We start from the raw sequence: 23,327 nt of genomic DNA on the forward strand, positions 1-23,327 counted from the left end.
AGTTGCAATCATTCACCTGATGAAAATCTTCACTTTTCTTTCTCTTGAGAAATGCCGCAGAGCCACTTACTGTGGAGGGTGGAAAAAAAGACAGGAATCCAGCTTGGTGCTGCTGAAGTCACACAAGGGTCATGTTCATCTTTCTAGGCCTGACTGACCAAGTTGAGGAAAGTTAAGATCCAAGGTTCCTTGCTGTTAACACCCCCAAATAATACGATTCCTTTATAGGTGGATTGTCTTGTTCTGTGGAGGACAACTGAGTGATAAAACATTGGGTCTATATTGTTAAGACTCCAACATCTGTTGATTACATTGTCATTTTGGAAATTTCTGGGATCTTAATTTATAGTCGTTCATTTAGTTAGTCTCTTTAAACTAGCCTAATTAAGATCTCCAGTCTAAAAACATTTACTTTTCCTGTGACTTGTTTTTGTTTTTACTGTAAAATACTTGAAAACACTTAAAGTTGCAATAGTTATGATACCACCCCAAATAATGAGAATGGATTTCTATACAATATATCCTTGGTTTAAAATGTTAATATCTTAAGAATGAAAAACAAACCACAGACTGGGAGAAAATATTAGCAAAACAATAAAGGACTGGTTTACAAATATACAGGTAACTCTTAAAGCTCAACAATGGGAAAGCAAACAATCCAATTGAAAAATGGGCAAAGGATCTGAACAGGTACTTCCCCAAAGAAGATAATAGAGATGGCAAATAAGCATGTGAAAAGATGCTCAACAACATATGTCATTAAAGAATTGCAAATTAAAACAGCAAGGAGATACCACTAGATACCTATTAGAACGGCCAAAATCCAGAACACTGTCAAGCCCAAATGTTGGTGAGGATGTGGAGTAACAAGAACCCCCATCTGCTGCTGGTGGGAATGCAAAATGGTATAGTCACTTTGGAAGACAGTTCAGTGGTTTCTCACAAAGCTCTTAACTAAAAAATATTACCTTAAATAGTCTTACTATATGATCCCGCAATTGTGCCCCTTGGTATTTACCCAAATGAGTTATAATGAATTAAATTTTATTGAGTTTTAATGAGTTAGAAACTTACATCCCGACAAGAACCTATGAGTTTATTTATAATTGCCAAAGCTTGGAAACAACTAAGATGTCCTTCAGTAGGTAAATGGATTAAAAAAGCTGTGGTACAGCCATACTGTGGAGTACTATTTAGCAATAAAAAGAAATGAGCTATCAAGCTACCAAAAGACATGGAAGAACCTTAGATGCATATTGCTGAGTGAAGGAAACCAGTCTGAAAAGGCTACATACTGTATAATTCCAACTATATAATACTATCAAAAGGCAAAACTATGGAGACAGTAAAAAGAACAGTGGTTGCTATGGGTTCTGGGGGAGGAAAGAATGAGTAGGTGAAGCACAAGGAATTTTTAGGGCAATGAAACAATTGTGTATGATACTGTAATGGTAGATACATGTCATGATATATTTGTCAAAACCCGTGAACTATGTAACACAATGAATAAACCCTAATGTAAATTATGGACTTTAGCTAATAATAATGTATCAATATTCACTCATCAGTTGTTACAAATAAACCACACCAATACTAATAATACTTGATGTTATATTTTCTAATAATATTATTAATACAGATATTAATAAGAGAAAGTGTGGAGGAGGTTGGAAGTAGGGAAAGAGGAGTTTTGTGCATTTTCTACTCAGTTCTGTAAAACAGAAAAAATAATATCTACCAATTTAAAAAGTCTTATGTGAAATTCAAATTACATACTTCATATAGAATCAGTTATTTTATTAAAAAATGAACTAAATGCAAATAAAACTTCATATGTTCTCCAAATGTGAAAGTAATGTTTACCCGATCCATAACATTTTTATTTACCATTTGATAAATAAATTTGGTTATCTGAGTAGAAGTTTTTTTTAACTCCATAGCTTTTTTTGAGGGACTAGGGGGAGGTAGAGGTCAAAGTTAGCACAATAGCTTCTCTTGATTGAGTAAGTGTTATATTGAGTATTTTTTTTATTTAAAAGCTTAAATGTTTATCATTAAATAAATTGTTTTAGTGTTTGTTTCATCTTTCAGAAGAATTTAGACTTTGTATAGAAAATTTCTTTTTCCCCTCTGTGGATTGCTTTTCCACATTGTTCTGGAGCTGTCATTGCCAGATGTGGAAATAAAAGTAACAGTGTGACTGTTATACACAAGGCTTTGGACTGTTTGTTTCCTCCCTGAAAGCACTGTGTGTGGGGGCAGATTACTGGCATTTTGAGGTCAAAATCAAATCTGGAAGTCAGAGCTTACTGTAAATAGAGAAACAAAGGGGAGAAAATGAGAAGAGGTGTGTATCTGACTGATTATTCTAAGAAAATAAATATCAAGACTTTTAGAACCTAGATGTAATTGAACACATTTCATTACATCCATCTAGGGACAATTTAAATACTTCCTAAAAGGAATGCTGCTCTATAATTTAGTTTCTTAGCATATTGTAGGTATAAAGAAAGTGTATTTTGGAAATTAAATTAATCCATTTAAATGCATCCCATAATCCAAAATGCTTCCTTTTTATTAAAACCAGATGAGATGAAATAAAAGTCTTTGGGAACTTTACCTCCTTATTGACAATATGATGATGAATAACATTTGATGTAATAGCTAATACTTTATTTCTCTAACTTGGAAAAAATGAAAGGAATTAGAAAAAATGAATGAGGTTAGTATTGTATGAAAATAATTTTAAAGAAATTCTCAAGTGATGTTTATATGTATAAAGTGTACTTTTAGTTGGAACTGGTTCACTGATTTTCTGTGGTTCATTTTCAGGTCCTTCAGCAGCTTTTAAATCATTGCAGGAAAAACAGAGATAAAGTTCTTCTCTTTTCTTTTTCCACCAAGGTGAGTTCATCTAAAGTATATCCTTGATTGGCCAGCCTCAACTTTTGAGGCATAAAGAATAAAGCATATGCCTACATGACACCTTACAGCCACATTTTCTCTTATCTACACAGTAGGAAATAGTGAGGTAAGCAACTTGAAGTTTTTAAACAGACACTAAAATTTCAATTGTTTCAGGGTTGCTAAATATCAAACTCAAAGATAGATTTTTATTTTCTGTTGATGTTCTTAATAATTACAATGTTCTTTAAGACATTTCATATATTTTAGAACTTAAAAAATAGCATGCATATATTTATGTAAATGATTTGACCAGTAATATTGTTTGTTTCTTAAAAATGAAAAGATTGATTTTTAAAACAAGTTCTGAATGTTAAAGCCATAATGTTGCAGGATAACGGGAATAAATATATGGGTCAGAAGTGAGAAAAATATTTATTGTTCTTGGAATTATAAGAAAGAAATTATGAACACCAATAATTAATACTTAACAAGTCTCAACTTTGTAATGGTCTGAAACTTACTTAACCAAGATTCATGTTTGCCCATCTTCATACCTCTCGTCTAGTTGCTTGACGTGCTACAGCAGTACTGTATGGCGTCTGGGCTTGATTACCGACGACTTGATGGAAGTACAAAATCAGAGGAAAGACTCAAGATTGTAAAAGAGTTCAACAGTACACAAGATGTTAACATTTGCCTTGTCTCTACAATGTAAGAAAATTAAATTTAATAACTAGATTTTTATCCAATTGTTTTTGAGATTTAGCATAATTTTTAAAACTATTACTGGATTAATTTTTAATGGCTATGCTTATTTAGAAGCAGCAAAAATACTATTATGACCGAAATTTCAATGTCTTAAGTTTTAGCTAAGCTTTTCTCTCATTTCCTTTATCAACATTGAATTCCTCTTAGAAGTCTGGGTTTATAAAGGTAACAATAAAAAAATTGATACTTCCTCCTATGAATTTTCCATGGTAGTGTTTTGACCCAAGTCTCCTGGTGAGAATAATCAGACTTCTTATTAACTGGATAACTGAGACTCACTGTAGCAGCAGTTTTCCCACTGTGTCAGGGAGCCCTTGAGAGCCCACTGGGGCTAGGGGCTCACGTTTCCCTCCTCTGCCTCTACCTCATCTCAACTGGAGCAGCTCTGCAGTTAGAGTTTTTATGAAAGGTAAATTGGTTCTAACCCCTATGTATGAATATCCCTTTAAGACCTTTTAGAGAATATACACACTTCTGAAAAGATTTAAATCAACATAAACACCTAAGTAAGATTAATCCCATTTTAGGAAGGAACAGATCAATAACTTTTGACATCCTGTGTAATAAGAATTTTATAGATTCACTCCCACTGTCTTTCAGAATTTCAATGGACTTTAAAAATAAACATATATAAAATGCACAAAGTAAAAATTAAATCAGAATAGAAATTAACTTAAAATGAGGAATAAAATATACTTATGAATGAGCCAACATTGTTGAGCACTTTAATTATTCTTGAATTCCTACCACTAAGGCAAATGGGGAAAAGCTTTGGATTCCCATTTTCCTATAAAGGAATGCAAGAAGTAATTTTTTTCATGCGTCCTTACATACAGAGCACTAAATGACATAGAATACTGTGGTCAATTAAATTTCATAAAACATATAAGCATTCTAACTTTAAAGTGTTTCCAGTTGATAGATGCACTAAACAATGGTTCCAATAATAGACTCTATAATGACAAGCAGTAGTCTCTTATCCTTCTTCTGCTCACTTCCAGCTCATTTGCTGAGATCCTCCATAAAGTTCCTAATTACCCCTTCACCTCTATCTGTCAGAAACTGCTATTTAACCTATCCATTGAATTTTTAATTTTAATCATACTTCGAAAAACATCTTTTTGGATGGCATTTTTGCTCTATTAACTCCTGTACTTGGTGGTGCTGATCCTTCTATTTGTTGTTTCCTCTGGCTCTTGCTTATGGTTGATAGTTTCTTCATGTTTGGTCATTTTTTTTCTTTTGAGCTTATCTTCAATGGGATTTTTTTCCTCTGGAAATCCTTTGGAGACCGGTTGTAGGAGTTTTCTGCTTGTGTGGTTTTGCTTTGGCTTCTGCTGGGCATCCTGACAAGACAAGGGAAAAAGTTTTGGATTCCTATTTTTCTGTGACAATTTGAGTAATTTATTTCATAAGTCATTATATAAGGAACCTTATGTAATATAATAAATACATTCTTCAGCTGTGTTTTGCAAAAGACACATAAGCTCAGTTTTTGTTTAGTTTCTATCATTTTGCAAGGGTTTATATTTAATATGTTGTGACAGAAATGTTTTCACATTGGCTTAGCCATTATCTTGCCAGAGTACAAAGTCTTCATTATCTTTTAGTTTATCAACTTTACATAAGTTGGAACTTCTCTTAAGAAAGATGATTAGGCTACTTTCACTACTCTCTCCCCGTTTTTTTCTCACAGTGTTTGCTATTTTAAAATTATTTGTCTATAAACTACTTTTGTAACTTTCAATCTTTGTACTTCTGCATTAGATCCATTGAATTTTCTCTTAGATCTTTTTCCTGGATCCCGTGTCTTCTTCTTTCTTGGTTTGCCGCCATGTTTTACTGGAAAATGATTCAAGTTTTGATGTTTGGTCCATTAACTTTCCACATGCCTTCTAAGTCTTTGTAATGTGTGGTATTAGCATTAGCACACACCCACCCACCCTTCTACTTTTGTCACCTATACATATTATGTTAACTATTTTAACTTTTACTTTGTCAAGGGTATTAATGTTTTCAATAAGCCCTGTACCAGTAACCGGTTATTGTCCATAGGTTGGCATTAAAATTTGAAGGCAAAAAAGCGTTTACATTACTATGTTTTTATAAACTAAACATCTTTAATGCAGGGGCAAGTAGTGCTAAGATAATTTTTCTTAATGTTCACGACCTTTTGGTCAATGCAAGATCAGTCTTAACATCAACCTCATATGACTTCTCTTTCCTAAGACTTCATCCATGTTTTATGTTTGCACTGTTCAGTTCACTTCAAATTTCAATCATGACTTTTTCGGTCTTTTCCCCCTCTCAGTCTGTTTCTGCCCTTTGTAATAATCCTCAATGTTACTAATTCTCATTCACACATTCTCTTCTGTTGAGTCCTCTGTATCCTGAACCTGCCTCCTGAAACTTTTATTCCTTAGTTTCAATCTGGCCCAGTTTTCTAGGCCTGATAAAGAACTGTCATGTTGAAGCTTTCTTTCACTGCTCTTCTGTGTTGGATCTTTTTCCTGGGTTCCATGCTGTTTTTATTCTTGACTTGCCCCTTTGTTTTCCTAGGAAATATCCTCTGGTAACTTTTTAAGCCAGAATATATAGGAAGTAAATTTTCTGCATCTGTAAATACAGAAAATGTCTTTTATTGCTCTCTCACTTAATTGATACTTTGTCCAACTATATAATTCTAAATTGAAAATCATTTCCTCTTAGATCTTTGAAGGGCTTGCAGCATTGTTTTCTGATAGATGGTGTGGCTAAATAGATGTGCAGTGCCAATCTGATTTTCATTCCTTTTTGGGAACTCGTAAGAGTTTTTCTTCATCTACACTATTCTAAAATTTCACGGTGATATTTGAGTCTTGGTGTGGATCTTCGTTCATTTTTTTGTGCTGGGTACAGTAGGCTTGTATTCTGAAGGCTTATGTTCTTTTTCAACTCTGGAAAATGCTTTTTTATTATTTCTTTAACAATGGCCTTTTTTTTTTCTTCCTTTTTCTCTGCTCCCTCCCTCTGGCATGCCAGGTCATCAGACTTTCAAACTTTCAAACTATATTGGTTCTTTAAATCTCTGAACTTTTCTCTCAGACTTTGTCTTTTTGCTCTGTTCTGAGAAATGTCATTTTTCGATCTTATTATTTTGTTTGAAATGATCACTTTTTTTTTTTTTTAAGACAGTGTCTCACTCTGTGGCCCAGGCTGTATGGTGCAATCTTGGCTCACTGCAACCTCCGCCTCCCGGATTTCAAGCAATTCTCCTGCCTCAGCCTCCCGAGCAGCTGGGACTACAGGCCTGTGCCACCCCACCCAGCTAATTTTTGTGTTTTTAGTAGAGACAGGATTTCACCATATTATCCAGGCTGGTCTTGAACTCCTGACCTCGTGATCTACCTGCCTCGCCCTCCCACAGTGCTGGGATTATAGGTGTGAGCCACCATTTCTGCCATCACATTTTTAATCTAAAGTTTTTCTTGCTTTCTGACCTCTTTTGTTTTTGGAGTTACCTTTTGTTTTAGAACATCAGTGTGTTAAACTCTAGCTTTTTATAGTCATTTCATTCAGTTTATTTAAAGAATGATCATCTGGCATTTTTCCTGGGGTTTGTTTTTTGTTTTTGGAGAATCAATGAATTTATTAATGAGTTTGAGGAAAATTGGAGTTTTTAAGGTATGAAGCCACCCTATCCATAAACATGGTATCTCTTTATATTTATTTAGGTTTTCTTAGAAGCATTGTTCAAATGGATACTTCGTTTGACCTTTTATAATACTTAATACATAATAATAAAACTTATTTCATCAAAGACATGTTTGTAGAACATTAAGATGTAGTTAAGGTGTACTTTCTGATATACTTATTTGATACAGGAAGAGCATGTGGCAGACCTAAGGAATAAACAGCCTGCATACTCATTAAGTGTCTCAAATACCAGTCCTCAGTTCGAAAAGAGCAATATTAAAATTTTTTTTGCTTAACAAGTAACCCTTTGCTGTTAACCATGTAAGAACAGAGTGACAAGTTTTAAAGTTTAGGTTTCTGAGTTGTATTATCATCAAAGGGAGAATTATCTCATCTGCAGAGAGAGAGAGAGTCTAGGGCCTTTTTCTTCTTCTTTAAAGGGAGCTTTGCTTCTTCAGCAAGGACTGAAGTTATTACTTCAGAATCTCTTGGAAGATTGCTACCTCAACTAGTAGAGATCTTATCTGTGGCTCATATATGGCATCTGAGATGGCATCATACATGGTTATGCCTGACCTTGCCATCAAGAAGGTAACTGGAACAGTTGATTAGATTTATTCAACATAGAAACCTTTAACTTCGTTTCTGCTTTTTTGCTGTCTAAATTCCACCCAATCCCCTAACTTATCCATTTTTTTAATCCTTTCTAATACTTTCTCCCTATCCCACCTCATTCTTTTCTTAGAGTTCAGTCAAGTCTCTATGACATCTTCATGGTATGTCTAATAAGCAGTTTTCCAAAGGAGAAAATTCAGTTTCTACTGAGCACTGAACTTTCAATCAGGACATTTGGGTTTGAATCGAGACACTTGCTACTTAGGAGACCTTGAACAAATTAATTTTTGTGATTGTCAATTTTCTCGCCTGAAAAATCAGGATATTTTGCTTATAGAAGTCTTCAGAACAGGCCAGGTGCAGTGGCTCACGCGTGTATTCCCAGCACTTTGGAAGGCCAAAACGGATGGATCACCTGAGGTCAGGAGTTCGAGACCAGCCTGGCTGACATGGTGAAACCCCATCTCTACTAAAAATACAGAATTAGCCAGGTGCAGCGGTTCATGCCTGTAGTCCCAGCTACTCAGGAGGCTGAGACGGGAGAATTGTTTGAACCCAGGAGGTGGAGGCTGCAGTAAGCTGAGATGACGCCACTGCACTCCATCCTGGACAAGACAGAGCAAGACTCTGTCTCAAAAAAAAAAAAAAAAAAAGAAGTCTTGAGAGCAAAAGAACTAGCATATATGAAAATACCTTGCATAGTTCCTGATATATAGTAGATGCTCAATAAAGGTTAATTTATTTGCATTTTTGATAGAAATTGTAGGAGAAAAGATTATCATTTTTCTTCCCCTGGATGATTAGCATCCAGTGTAAAGCATTATCTAAGTGTGAGTTGTTTTGTGATACAGTGTAGGCAGCTGATGAGGGAAAATGGCAATGCAAAGCCTCAGAGGAAAGCCTGAAAGACAGCTGGGCTCAGGAAAACAGTTGAGGAAGAGAAAGAAAATCATTGTGTTCTTGGATTTTGGTTTTGCCTTTTCTTTGTAAAAATGTAAAAATTTATCATCGTTGTCTTACAGAGTATTAAATACAGGATATGTAGATCAGATAGTTCAAAACATGAAAAGATCACAATTATTGTTATTTAAAATCTATTAAATTATATAGGCAGCTGGAATCTTCAACTCAGTATACAAACATTATATACATTCAGTTTTGCCAAAAGTTTCCTTTAGAAATTTTATTCCAAAAGAAATAAGTAGTATGCTGATAGAAAAAAATGAATCTAGCAAAACCAATATGTGATTTTTATACTAATAATAAAAACTGCCAAAAAATATGTCTTTAGTGACTTCTCTTCACTGTTACCTTAACCACAGGTCAAGTTAAATGAAGACAAAACTTTTGGCTTCCATTTAAGTGTCAAAAAGACTCTGTAGCATGAATACTAGGCACAACTTCATTCTTGGTTTTGACTTTCAGAATCATACACTAGTTGACTACAAACAGCTTTCTAAGCAAACCCTATAATTTGAAATACAATGCTTTATTCATACTTACTAACTTGTGAGGATTAAGTTAAGGATTTGGGGTACCATACTGCAAAAGTAAAATTTTCCAGATGATATAAGTACCTCTAGGTAGTCCAACACCAGGAATCATGAGCTTTGAAGGGATCAGGAGAAACATCATTTTCTGTCTCTCATAACATTATTCCAAAACACTGTCAACTTTCCCAGAAAGATGAGGACATTTCTTTTGTTATGTACCCCAAGAGAAAGACATTCTAAACCACTCTTTTCAAATAAATAATGAGAATCATATTATATGCCTTTTGTTAAAATCTGCCTTTACTGCTTTATTTTGTCTCAGTCTCACACCTTTTTGTTCAACTACTAATATCTTCATGGACCCTTAATGTGCAGCAAGAAAAATAAGAGAATTTTTGCCTTTGAAGAGCAGTATAATGCAATAAATGCTTTACTGGAGTTTATGTGTGAAGATTCATAGGCATTTAAGAAATAGATAGATCAAAAAATCCCATAGAAGGATGGTGATGTTTTAACTGGTTCTTTAGAGATAAGATTTTATTAAAAAGAAAAGGAAAAGCAGGTTTTGGTAAAGGGCATTTTAGGCACAGAGAATAGCATAGGTACCAAAATAACTAGAGAACTTATGTGTTTAGTGCTTAGGATATGTGGAGGCAACAGCTTGGGTGTATGACTACATAGGAGAACTCATGAGTTATTTTAACGAAGCTCAGTTTAACAGAGTGTAAGTATCCACTCTGTGACAGGCCCTGGAGGAGACACGTCTCTTAAAGTTTATAACTCAAAAAGTAGAGGGGTACAGGAGGAGTTGTTCAGAAACATGTAAAAGGATAGTTCAATACAGTATGGCGAATGCAGGGTAGGAGGAGGCACAGAGGAGAAAGATTTAGTTCAGGCTTTGTTAATGACACCTGAAGGACAAGGAAAAGTTAGCCAGGCAAATAAGATAGCAGAGAAAATTGTATGAAAGCAACTTTAAATGTTTTGGTCACTTGTGGTATAGTTATCAAGAATGACTGGTGTGATACCAGCTGCAGAGACGGTAGGCCTGGTCATTGAGGCCGATTGGTCTCTGATGAATAGGAATTAATGGGTTTTAAGCTACAAACAGCTTTCTAAGCAAGCCCTGTAATTTGAACTACAATGCTTTCATACTTACTAACTTGTAAGGATTAAGTTAACGATTTGGGGTACTATACTGCAAAAGTAAAATTTTCCAGATGAGTAGTACACTTAGTTCTGTATATTCTGTGCTTAAAATAATTTTTATGTAATGTGAGAATGGGCATGGGTGTAAGGTCTGAAGTAAGAGAGGACAATCAGAAGACCAAAGAAGTAATACATGCAAGTGCAATCTAATAACAGCTCTGAAAAGGGCAGTGGTAATAGGAATGGAGAAGGGACTCAAGAGAAAAACATTTCTGAGCTAAATATGACAGGACTTGATACTGGTTAGCTTTTAGTGGGAAAGGGAAGTAGTCATGGAGAAGAAGAAGTCTATAGTGATACTTAGCATGGCTTTTGACTTTGATGAGTGAGTATATGGGTGGTATCACCAGGAAATATATGGAGAAAAAGAACTCTGGGTCCAGGGAAGTATTAGATGTAGCTCATTATAAAATTAGCATTGATGTTATTTCATCTTGTTCTCTTCCTTTTGGAGAGAGAACATGTGGCATCCTGTTGCAGTGTAACTCTTGGCTCTCTCTGTATTCACTATGACAAGCCTGAAGCATATGCGGTAGCACCCTGACTGCCTGTCTTGTGATCAACATGTGATGGTGGAAATAATCTGTACTTAAGAATCCATTCTGTGTTAAGGCCATATGGATGTTAGCCACATTTTTAAATTAAACTTTTTATTCTGAGATATTTCTAGATTCACAAGTAGTTTTAAGAAATAATACAGAATGATCCCATGCACTCTTTACCCAGTTCCCCCAATGTAATATCTTGTAAAACTGTAGTACATTATCACAACCAGGATACTGACGTTGATACAGTGAAGAGCAGAACATTTCCATCACAAGAATCCCTCATGCTGTCCTTTTGTAGTCACATCTGCTTTCCTCTCTCCCCTTTCTCCCTGAGCCCTGGAAACCACTAATCTGTTCTCCATTTCTGTAATTTAGAACAACATAATCAAGAATGTTATGTAAAGGGAGTCATAAAGTATGTAACCTTTTGGGATTGGCTATTTTCACTCAGCGTAATTCCCTGTAAATTCATCCAGTTGTTGTATGTATCAATGGTTCTTTTCTTTTTATTGCTCTTAGTATTCATGATATGGATACACCACAGTTTGTTTATACATTCATCTGTTGAAGGGCATCTGGGTTGTTTCCAGTTTTCGGCTGTGACAGATAAAGCTATTAACATTTGTGTACAGACTTTTGTTTGAACATTAGTTTTCATTCCTCTGGGATAAATGCTAAATATTGCAACTGCTGCATTATGTGATAGTTGCGTATTTCGTTTTATAAGAAATTGCTAAACTGTTAACAAAGTGGCTATATGGTTTTACATTCCCCACAGCAGTGTGTGAGTGATCAGGTTCCTCTGCATTTTCACTAACATTTGCTATCGTCACTATTTTTTTCATTTTAGCCATTCTGATGGGCATGTAGAGACATGTCATTGTGGTTTGGATTTGCATTTACCTAATGTCTAATGATATTAAACATCTTTTCATGTGCTTCTTGTATAAAGCTGGTGTTAATGCTTCTGTAAATGGTAAAATTCTCCAGTGAAATCATCTGGGCCTGGAGGGGTTATTTTTTTTCCCTAAGAGTTTTGAAAATAACATACTCAATTTCTTTAATAGTTATAGGACTATTCAGGTTGTCTGTTTCATTTAGTTGAGTTCAGTGGTTTGCGGTTTTTGAGGAATTGTTTCTCTTCTAACTTATTGAATTTATGACCATAAAATTTTTTATAGTATTCATTTATCCTTTTAATAGCTGTAGGATCTGTGGTGATATCCCTTGTTTCATTTCTAATATTGGTAATTTGTGTATTCTCTTTTATCTTTGTCATTGCTAGTTTAGCAACGAATCAGCTTTTTTTCACTGATTTTTCTCTGTTATTTTTCTGTGTTCAGTTTTATTGATTCTGCTTTTTTATTTATTATTTCCTTTCTTCTGCTTGCTTTTTTTGCTTCTTTTTCTAGTTTCTTAGGGGGAGGACCTCAGATTATTGGTTTGAGACCTTTAATTTTTTTCTAATATAAGCATTTAATGTTACAAATTTTCCTAAGCCCTGCTTAGCTGCATCCTACATATTTTGATATGTTGTATTTTCATTTGTGTTACATTATTATTTATTTCTCCTTGTATTTTTTTTCACAGTTTTTTTGGATTTCAGATTTTGTTTGACTCATGAGCTATTTAGATGTATGTTGTTTAATTTCCAAGTGTTTGGAATTTTTTTTGTTGTCCTCCTGAAATGTATTGCTAGTTTGACTCCATTATCGTTAGAGAACATACTCAGTATAATACCATTATATTCAGTATATACCAGTATAGTTTCAGTTCTTTTAAATTTGTTGAGGTTTGTTTTATGGCCCAGGATTTGGTCTATCTTGGTGAATATTCTATAGGAACCAGGAAAAAAAAGTGTGTGTGGTGCTGTTCTAGGTGGAGTGTTCTGCGTATGTCATTGGTTGGTCATTTTGTTCTTTTATATCCTTGCCAATTTTCTCTCTAGGAGTTCTATCAGTTGCTGAATGTGGGATATTGAAATCCTCAACTATAATTGTGCATTTGCCTGTTTCTCTTTTCAGCTTAATTTGACTTCATGTATCTTTCAGCTCTGCTGTTTTGGTGCTGTTTGGTGTTTTGGCAGATTGATCTTTTTGTCATTGTGCATTGTCCCTCTTTTAACTATTAACTTTCTTTGCTCTGACATATACTTGGACTAATATTAATATAGCCAGTCTTGCTTTTTTCTTTAATAATTGCCTGGTATATCTTTTATCATCCTTTCACTCTCAGCCTAGCTGTGTCATCATATTTAAAGTGTTTTGTTTTGTTTTTTGTGGAGAGCATATTGTTTTTTCAAACTACCCTGCCAATCTTACGATTTTAAATGGTATATTTAGGCCATTATATTGAAGGTAATTATTGATATTTTTTATTTAACTTTTATCTTTTTATCTCCTATTTCTAGTTCCACTGTTTCTCTTATTCAGACATTTCTTTAGGATTCTGTATTTGTTTATGTATAGTGTTTTTTAGTGTATTGCTTTGTGTAGCTTCCTGGTGGTTGCTCTGGGTATTTACATTGTACATAGTAACTTCTCACAGTCTACTGGTATACAGGTTTACCAGTTTGAATGAAGTATAGAAATTTTACTTACATTTAAGCTTCTTTTCCTACTCCACTTTTAAGATATTATTGTCTTAGATATTTCCTCTACATGCCCTAAGCAGCATATCAGATTGTATTGCAGTTTTCCTTTAACCATGAAATGTGATTTATGAAATGCATGAGAAATAAAATAGTATTTATATTCACCCCTATTTTAACCTATTCTGATCTTCCTCTTTCCTTTCTGTTCTAGTTCCAAGCCTTATTCTGCTTTTTTTTTTTTTCCTTATGAACTTTCTAGCCACCAATCTTTTAGGTTAAGTCTGCTGGTAACAGGTGCTCTTAGTTTTCGTTAGTCTGAGAATGTCTTATCTCCTTTCCCTTTCTGAAGGATATTTTCACTGAGTATAGAATTCTGGGTTGACAGTTCTTTTCTTTCAGCACTTGAAAGATAATGCCACTTTCTTCTGATATCCATGGTTTCTGATGTTTCTCTCTGTTGTTCATATTTCGTGAATGATACTGGTTCTCATCATGCTTACTGATTCTGTCTTTTGTCTTTTCCACTGTACTGTTCAGCCCATTTGGCAAGTTTTGTATTTCAGCTATTTTTCCATTCCAAAATTTTTATTTTGCTCTTTATATCCATTTTTGTTTTGTTTGTTTTTGCTGAGACTCAATTTTTTTGTTTGTTTCAAGCATGTTTGTAATTGCTTGTTGAAACATTTTTATGATGGCTTTGTTAAAATTCTTGTCAGGTAATTCCAACATCTGATTCATCTCAGTCTTTTCTTATTCAGGCTGCAATTTTCCTGGTTCTTGGTATAAGTGATTTTTTATTGTATCATTGTGTCTTGGACATTTTGAGTATTGTGTTATGAGACTCTGCATGTGATTTAAATCTTCCATTTTAGTACACCTCCTCTTTGACACCATGCCAGCCAAGTAGGGGTGGAAAGCTAGGTTCCGTCTTTGGCCTCTGCTGATAGCCTGAGAGGGAAGTGCTTTACTACTGCTCCCACCTGGCGTCCCCTGACACCATGGAGGGAGACCCTGTTATCATTGGGAAGAAAACGAAAGCTCTAGCTCTTCACTCAGTCTTCTCTGACACCACCCCAGCAAGAATCAGTGGTAGTGTCTCATTATAGCCAGGCAAGGGTAGAAGTCTAGCATCCTCATTCAGCCTTTGCTGACTAAGGTAGGGATGGGGCTGCAGATTGTTCCTTGGTGTTTGGCAGGAGTAGAGTGGTTATTGTGTCACATTTTTCTGCCTTTCAAGGCTACACCTTTCCTGGTTCTTTGGCTAAAGGGAAAAGGCTTTTCTTGGGATATATATATATATTTTTATAGTCTGTGACTTTCGGCATTACCAACAGCTTGGGATATGTTAAGAACCCAGCTTGTGGTATCTTAAGCAAAAAAGAAAGCTAGACTTTCTTCTCACAGTTTTTTTGGATTTCAGATTTTGTGTGACTCATGAGCTATTTAAGTGTATGTTGTTTAGTTTCCAAGTGTGTGGAATTTATTTTGTTGTCCTCCTGAAATGTATTGCTAGTTTGATTCCGTTATTGTTAGAGAACATACTCAGTATAATACCATTATACTCAGTATATACCAGTATAATTTCAGTTCTTTTAAATTTGTTGAGGTTTGTTTTATGGCCCATGATTTGGTCTATCTTGGTGAATGTTCTATAGGAACCAGGAAAAAAAAAGTGTGTGTGTTGTGCTGTTCTAGGTGGTGTGTTCTGTGTATGTCATTTAAATCCTGTTGGTTGGTCAGTTTGTTCTTTTATATCCTTGCCAATTTTCTCTCCAGGAGTTCCATCAGTTGCTGAATGTGGGACTCCTTCAGCTAGGCTTTCTTTTTTGGAAAAGCCATGGAAGCTTTCTTTTTTGGAAAAGCCATTCCTTTTTTTCAGGAAAGCCATGACTCACTGCCATGCCATTCCTTAGGCCTTGTAGTCCCTAGCCTGCCTATCTTCTCTGTACCTTTCAGAGTTTTACGTTTATTTCCTATGTAATATCCAGAGTTTTAGCTGCACTTAGTGGAAGAATAAGATGTGCATCTATTCCTGAATTGAGTTTTTTAATGTATGCATTACTTTATTTAGCTAGAATGTACTAACACTTTTTAAAAATTATATTAGGAAAATCTTGCAGAAGTAGTATTTGAGTATCAAAAAAAAGTAAAAACCAGCACAAACTATTTACGTGGGCTCTAATGACCAGTTTTTTAGGGATTTTCTAGAGTGGTAGAAATAAAATTGTGCCTTAAATATTTAATTTGTGGCATATTTGTATTTTAATCACCACCTTACTTTGATGAAATTAATGCAATATCGTACTGTTTTGGCTATAGAAACCTGGCACAGTTGAGTTATAGCACAACAGTTAGTTTTTGCTGTTCTAATGTGCTTTTTTTTTTTCTCTTTCCTCCAGGGCTGGTGGACTAGGCCTCAATTTTGTCGGTGCCAATGTTGTTGTATTATTTGATCCTACTTGGAATCCAGCCAATGATCTTCAAGCCATTGACAGGTATAATACTGACAAAATTTAAAGTGATCTGCAAATACTTTTAATCTAAAAATACTCTTGAACTTTTAAGGTTGCTTATACTATGACTATGATTAGAAGAAAGGGGGAAACTGGTAAAAACGTACATTTAATATAATCCTGACCTTCTCAATCCAAATAACAGTCCAAAAATAGCCATTTTTCATCCATCTCAGAATCCTATTAATATGACAGAAATGACTTAAGAAGAAAGAATAAATTCCTAATACTGTAGGAAAATAGGATAGTTCTGTACTAGTAGATCAGAAGTTTTGAGAAACTCCTGGAAGATAGAAAGCAAGTAGAATCTGTGATCAGGGTATCCGCAGAGAAATACTACAATCCAAAGTCTGCAGGAAAGAGTACAGAAATTTTAAGCATGGGCTTGCAACTACAGTATGTGGGAGTAGACAGAGTGCATCATTCTGGGAAATTGATAATGTCCTGACTCTAATACAAATTCCCCTCTGACACCCTACTTTACAGAGAGATTGGCCGTAACAGGTACTCTTTGATTAAAGCTGAAAGAATAATTTTACACATTTTATAAACAAATGGGGAATCTGACTGTAGAAAGCTTCCTAGAATGGATGTTGGAACCAGATCATAAAGCCAGAGCCAAGCCTGAAGTACTTCCAGATCTCCCCAGGACATGAAAAAGGGAAATACACGTGTTACCTGCATGGAAACACAGACCGGCTTTCCAGTGATGCACCTAGTCGTCATTTTAATTATGAATGGGAAATGAAGAATTATGAAACATTTTAATAAAATTAACCTAGCAAGAAAGCAAAGGACAAAGGTGAAAAACAGACATTGAAGGGAATAAAATAAGAATAGGATGCCAAGGAAAAAAGTACATAAAAAAACAAATTAGTTCTTATAAATTAAAACTATTGCCAAAATAAAGTGACTCAGTAGAAGGTCTGGGAAAAAAAATGGAGAGGGCTAATGGAAGGATATGGAAAAAAATGAAGGTCTGAAAAAAAATGGAGAGGGCTAATGGAAAAATGGAGAAGGATATGGAAGATAAAAGGAATGAATATTTTAAAACATAAAGTCAAGTAGCAAATAGATGTGAAATATGAGTAAAGAGAAATTGAGGAAAAATCCCAGAAATCATCATCTGTGTATTCCAGAAATAATGAACAGAGACTGGAGGACGGGAGATAATTGATGACATGATTGGAGAAAATTGTTATTAATTTTGAAGGGGCATTTAGTATGAAGTAGGAATAATGACTGAGAGAGAAAACATACATGTTAGTAATATTTCTAAGTTTCAAAGATAAAGAGAAGGGCTAAAAGGTTCCAAAGTGAGAAACAGGGAGAGAATGATTTATAAAAACTGCAACAAAAAGGAAAAGATACATTGTTAACAAAGAAATGAGAATCAGACTCAATTCAGCAGATCAGACTTTGAAGAACATACATTTCATCAGCATTATAGGATTCTAGAATGACAACAGAATTGTCAAAGTGAAAAAATTTATATGGCTATATGTGAAAGAAAATTATTTTGAGTTGTATTTACAATTTGTGGCTAAAATTTTAAGTCTAAAAAATTACTGGGAGTGTGGCTGATAGGCTTCATGCAGTTGTAAAGAAAGAATTCCCTGAAATATGAAGGGATGGTATGAAAAAATTAGTAACAAGAACTAAAATGTTATATAAATTTTGATAATTGTCAGAATAAGGGTAGAGGTGGGTAAAGTTGTCTTAGAATTGTTTTTTTTTCCTCAGGAAAGGACCAGGATACCCTGGTCAGTTCTCAAATTGTATGCCAACAAATGTTTTTAAATGCTAGCAAAAAATTTAGGGGCAACAACTAAAAGAGTGAGTTATAATAATTACCTGGTACAATTTTCAAAAACACAGATGCTCAAACTCCACCCTGCAGGCATTCTGTTTATGTAGATGTAGAATGGGACTCAACATTCTACGTTTTAAAAAACACCCAGGTTGTGGATCAAAGGACACTATCAACAGAGAAAAAAGGCAGTCTACAGAATGGGAGAAAATATTTTCAAATCACATATCTGATAAAGTATTAATATCTAGAATATAAAAAGAACTCCTAAAACTCAACAACAACAAAAAACACAACCCAATCTAACAATGCATAGGACATTTCTCCAAAGAAGGTATACAAGATATATAAGTGGCCATTAAGCACATGAAGAGATGCTCAGCATCACTAATCATTAGGGAAATGCATATCGGAACTATAGTGAGGTACAACTTCACACACGTTGGATGACTATTGTAAAAATAAAAGCAACAACAGAAAACAAGTCCTAGTTGAGGATATGGAGAAATTAGAACCCAGAACCCTTGTGCATTGTTGATGGAAATGTCAAGTGGCACAGCTGCTGTGGAAAACAGCATGGTGGTTCCTCAAAAAATTAAACATAAAATTACCATGTTATCCAGCAATTACACTTCCACTTTGGGTATATACCAAAAAGAATTGAAAGCAGAGACTTGAAGAGATACTTGTACACTCATGTTCATAGCACCTGTATTCACAATAGCTAAAATGTGGAAGCAACTCAAATGTCCATCGATGGATGAATGGATAAACAAAATACAGTTTATACATAAAATGGAATACTATTCAGCCTTAAAAAGAAATGAAATTCTGATAAATGCTACAACATAGACAAACCTTGAAGACATTATACTACATGAAATAAGCCAGATATGAAAGGACAAATATTGTATGATTCTACTTATATGAAATACCTGGAATAGTCAAATCCATAGAGATAGAAAGTAGAATGGTGCTTATTAGGGGATAGGGAGGAATGGGGAATTATTGTGTAATGGGCATGGAATTTCAGTTTAGGATAATAAAAAAGTTGTAGCAATGGATAGTGGTGATGGCTGGAAAACTGAATTTACTTAATCCCGTTGCACTGTACTCTTAAAAATAGCTAAAATGGTAAATCGTTTTGTATGTTTTGCCACAATTAATTTTAAAAGCCACCCACAGTGATTATGATACAATTGGTTCTCAACTCCACTTTGAAAAACACTGGATATTAGGTGTATCGGGGAAATTCAGCCAGATATCGGGCGAAATTCACCCCCAATATTTTACATAGGTTTTTTTTCTATTTTCCCTAAGTGTCGGCCGGTCTGAGAAATAAAGAGACAGTACAAAAGAGAGAAATTTTAAAGCTGGGTGTCTGGGGGAGACATCACATGTCGGCAGGTTCCGTGATGCCCCCTGAGCTGCAAAACCAGCAAGTTTTTATTAGCGATTTTCAAAAGGGGAGGGAGTGTACGAATAGGGTGTGGGTCACAGAGATCACATCCTTCACAAGGTAATAAGATATCACAAGGCAAATGGAGGCAGGGCGAGATCACAGGACCACAGGACCGGGGCGAAATTAAAATTGCTATTGAAGTTTCGGGCATGCATTGTCATTCATAACATCTTATCAGGAGACAGGGTTTGAGAGCAGACAACTGGTCTGACCAAAATTTATTAGGTGGGAATTTCCTCGTCCTAATAAGCCTGGGAGCACTACAGGAGACTGGGGCTTATTTCATCCCTACAGTAGTGACCATAAAAGACGGCCGCACCTGAAGCGGCCATTTCAGAGGCCTACCCTCAGGGATGCATTCTCTTTCTCAGGGATGTTCCTTGCTGAGAAAAAGAATTCAGCGATATTTCTCCCATTTGCTTTTGAAAGAAGAGAAATATGGCTCTGTTCCACCCGGCTCACTGGCAGTCAGAGTTTAAGGTTATCTCTCCTGTTCCCTGAACTTTGCTGTTATCCTGTTCTTTTTTCAAGGTGCCCAGATTTCATATTGTTTAAACACACATGCTGTACAAACAATTTGTGCAGTTAACGCAATCATCACAGGGTCCTGAGGCAACACTCATCCTCCTCAGCTTATGAAGATGATGGGATTAAGAGATTAAAGTAAAACAGGCATAGGAAATCACAAGGGTATTGACTGGGGAAGTGATAAGTGTCCATGAAATCTTCACAATTTATGTTCAGAGATTGAAGTAAAGACAGGCGTAAGAAATTATAAAAGTGTTAATTTGGGGAACTAATAAATGTCCATGAAATCTTCACAATTTATGTTCTTCTGCCATGGCTTCAGCCAGTCCCTCCGTTCAGGGTCCCTGACTTCCCGCAACAGGTGTAAAACTTCCAAAAGAAATAAGAGTACCAAGAAAATGTAATTATTTTAGTACATGATAGGAAATATATAGTTGTGTTGGGAAGATGGAGGAAACTCAGAAAGCATGACCAATGAAGTGTCAGAACTAAATCCAAACATAAATATGAATATGTTGAAACTTTTTTTAGAAAGAAGGAGAAAAGTGGGGCTGGCAGAAAGGAAAAATTAGACTCAGGTTTATGCTTATTATGAAACATATATGTAAATAAAAAAGACACAGGAAGTTGAAAATAAGATAAAAAAATCAAATCAGGGAGATGGTAACAAAAATTAAGAATGGATGGCAATGCTAATATCAAATTATTAATAGAATTCAAGACAAAAGGCATTAAGCAAAACAAAGAGGGCCACAGTCCACTAGGAAGTTGTAATAGTCACTACATAACAAAGCCAAAACTCTTATATATGATGAGAAACAGACAAATCCACAACTATAATGGGAAACTCCATATTCCTCTCTTAAAAAATAATAAATTGGCCGGGTGCAGTGGCTCACACCTGTAATCCCAGCACTTTGGGAGGCCAACGTGGGCGGATCACGAGGTCAGGTGATCGAGACCATCCTGGCTAACACGGTGAAACCCCGTCTCTAGTAAAAATATCAAAAATTAGCCAAGCGTGATGGCAGGCGCTTGTAGTCCCAGCTACTTGGGAGGCTGAGGCAGGAGAATGGCGTGAACCTGGGAGGCGGAACTTGCAGTGAGCTGAGATTGGGCCACTGCATTCCAGCCTGGGTGACAGAGCGAGACTCCATCTCAAAAAAATAAAATTAAATAATAATAATAAATCCACTAGGCTAAATAAATATATAAATTACTTGAATAAAAGTTATCTACCATAATTTAATAATTGTGTATACAGATACATCTCATTTTATTGCACTTCACTTTATTGTGCTTCACAGATAATTGCCTTGTTTACAAATTGAAGGTTTGTAGAGATGTTGAGTCAAGCAAGTCTTCCAGCACCATTTTTCCGTGGCATATGCTCACTTGTGTCTCTGTGAGAATGTAGTTCTCACATTATTTCAGATTTTCATTATCACATCTGTGATGGTGATCTGTGATCACTGATCTTTGAAGTTACTATTGTATTTGTTTCAGGACACCATGAACCATGCCCCTATAAAAAGATGAACTTAATTGGTAGATGTGTGTGTTCTGACTGCTCTGCTTACTGGCCATTCCCCTGTCTCATTCCCTCCCTTGGGCCTCCCTCTTCCCTGAGACACAGTATTTAAATTAGGCCAATTAGTAACTCTGCAGTGGCCTTTAAGTGGTCAAGTGAAAGGAAGAGTTGCATGTCTCTCACTTTACATCGAAAGCTAAAAATGATTAAGCTTAGTGAGGAGGGCATGTTGAAAGCCAAGATGGGCCAAAAGCTAGCAGTTGGCCAAGTTGTGAATGCAAAGGAAAAGTTCTTGAAGGAAATTAAAAGTGCTACTCCAGTGAACACATGAATGACAAGAGCACCAAACAGCCTTATTGCTGATACGAAGAAAGTTTTAGTGGTCTGGATCAAAGATCAAACCAGCCACAGCATTCCATTAAACCACAGCCTAATCCAGAGCAAGTCTCTAACACACTTCAGTTCTTTGAAGGCAGAGAGACACAAGGAAGTAGCAGAAGAAAAGTTTGAAGCTGCAGGGATTGGTTCATGATGTTTAAGGAAAGCAGCCACCTCCATAACAAAAAAGTGCAAGGTGAAGCAGCAAGTGTTGATGTAGAAAAGCTGCAGCAAGTTATCCAGAAGATCTAGCTAAGATCATTGTTGAAGGTACCTACATTAAACAACAGACTTTCAATGAGAACAAAACAACCTTATATTGGAAGAAGATGTCATTGAGGACTGTAGTCAATAAAGAGGAGAGTTAATACCTGGCTTCAAAAGATAGGCTGACTCTCTTGTTAGAGACTAATGGAGCTGGTGACTTTAAGTTAAAGCCAGTGCTCATTTACCATTCCGAAAATCTTAGGGCCTTTAAAAGTTATGCTAACTCTACTCTGCCTGTGCTTTGTAAAATGGAACAACAAAGCCTGGATAACAGCATATCTCTTTACAGGATGGTTTACTGAATATTTTAATCCCACTGTTGAGACCTACTGCTCAGAAAAAAAAAGATTTCTTTCCAAATATTAACTGCTTACTGACAATGCCCCTAGTCACCCAAGTGTTCTGATGGAGATATACAAGGAGATTAATGTTGTTTATGCAGTAACACAACATCCATTCTGTAGCCCATGGATCAAGTTGTACTTTTGACTTTGAACTCTTATTATTTAAGAAACACATTTTGTAAGGCTATAGCTGTCATATATAGTGATTTCTCTGATGGATCTGGTCAAAGTCTGTTAAAAACCTTCTGGAAAGGATTCACTATTCTAGATACCATTTAAGAACATTTGTGATTCATGAGAAGAGGTCAAAATATCAAACAGGAGTTTGGAATAAGTTGATTCCAACCCTCATGGATGACTTTGAGGAGTTCGACTTTAGTAGAGGAAGTAATTCCAGATGTGGTGGAAATAGAGAACTAGAATTAGAAACAAAGCCTGATGATGTGACTAAATTGTTGCAATCTCATGATAAAACTTTAATGAGGTCAGGCACAGTGGCTCATGCCTGTAATCCCAACATTTTGGGAGGCCAGGGCGGGTAGATCACTTGAGGTCAGGAGTTTGAGACCAGCCTGGCCAACATGGTCAAACCCCATCTCTACTAAAATTACTAAAATTAGCCAGGTGTGGTGGCGTGTGCCTGTGGTCCCAGCTACTCAGGAGGCTGAGAATCGTTTGAACCCGGG

General features: G+C 35.6%; 1 protein-coding gene across 16 annotated transcripts in view; it reads left to right on the plus strand.

Annotated features, from left to right (window-relative positions):
* Nucleotides 1-23,327, plus strand: part of ERCC6L2 (ERCC excision repair 6 like 2) — a 165,402-nt gene that overhangs the window by 49,556 nt on the left and 92,519 nt on the right. For 15 of the 16 annotated variants that reach the window (NR_164677.1, NM_001375291.1, XM_047423357.1 and 12 more), the window contains 3 exons: nt 2,833-2,904; nt 3,473-3,618; nt 16,208-16,303. Coding sequence is in view for 15 of the 16 variants with exons in the window: in NM_001375291.1 (NP_001362220.1) it covers nt 2,833-2,904; nt 3,473-3,618; nt 16,208-16,303 (314 nt within the window). In the remaining variant the exon portion in view is untranslated. Of the gene's footprint in view, nt 1-2,832; nt 2,905-2,937; nt 3,032-3,472; nt 3,619-16,207; nt 16,304-23,327 lie in introns of those variants that run through there. The other variant, XM_011518648.4, reaches the window with a different exon arrangement.

This window comes from Homo sapiens, chromosome 9 (assembly GCF_000001405.40).
Source record: "Homo sapiens chromosome 9, GRCh38.p14 Primary Assembly".
NCBI lineage: Eukaryota > Metazoa > Chordata > Mammalia > Primates > Hominidae > Homo > Homo sapiens.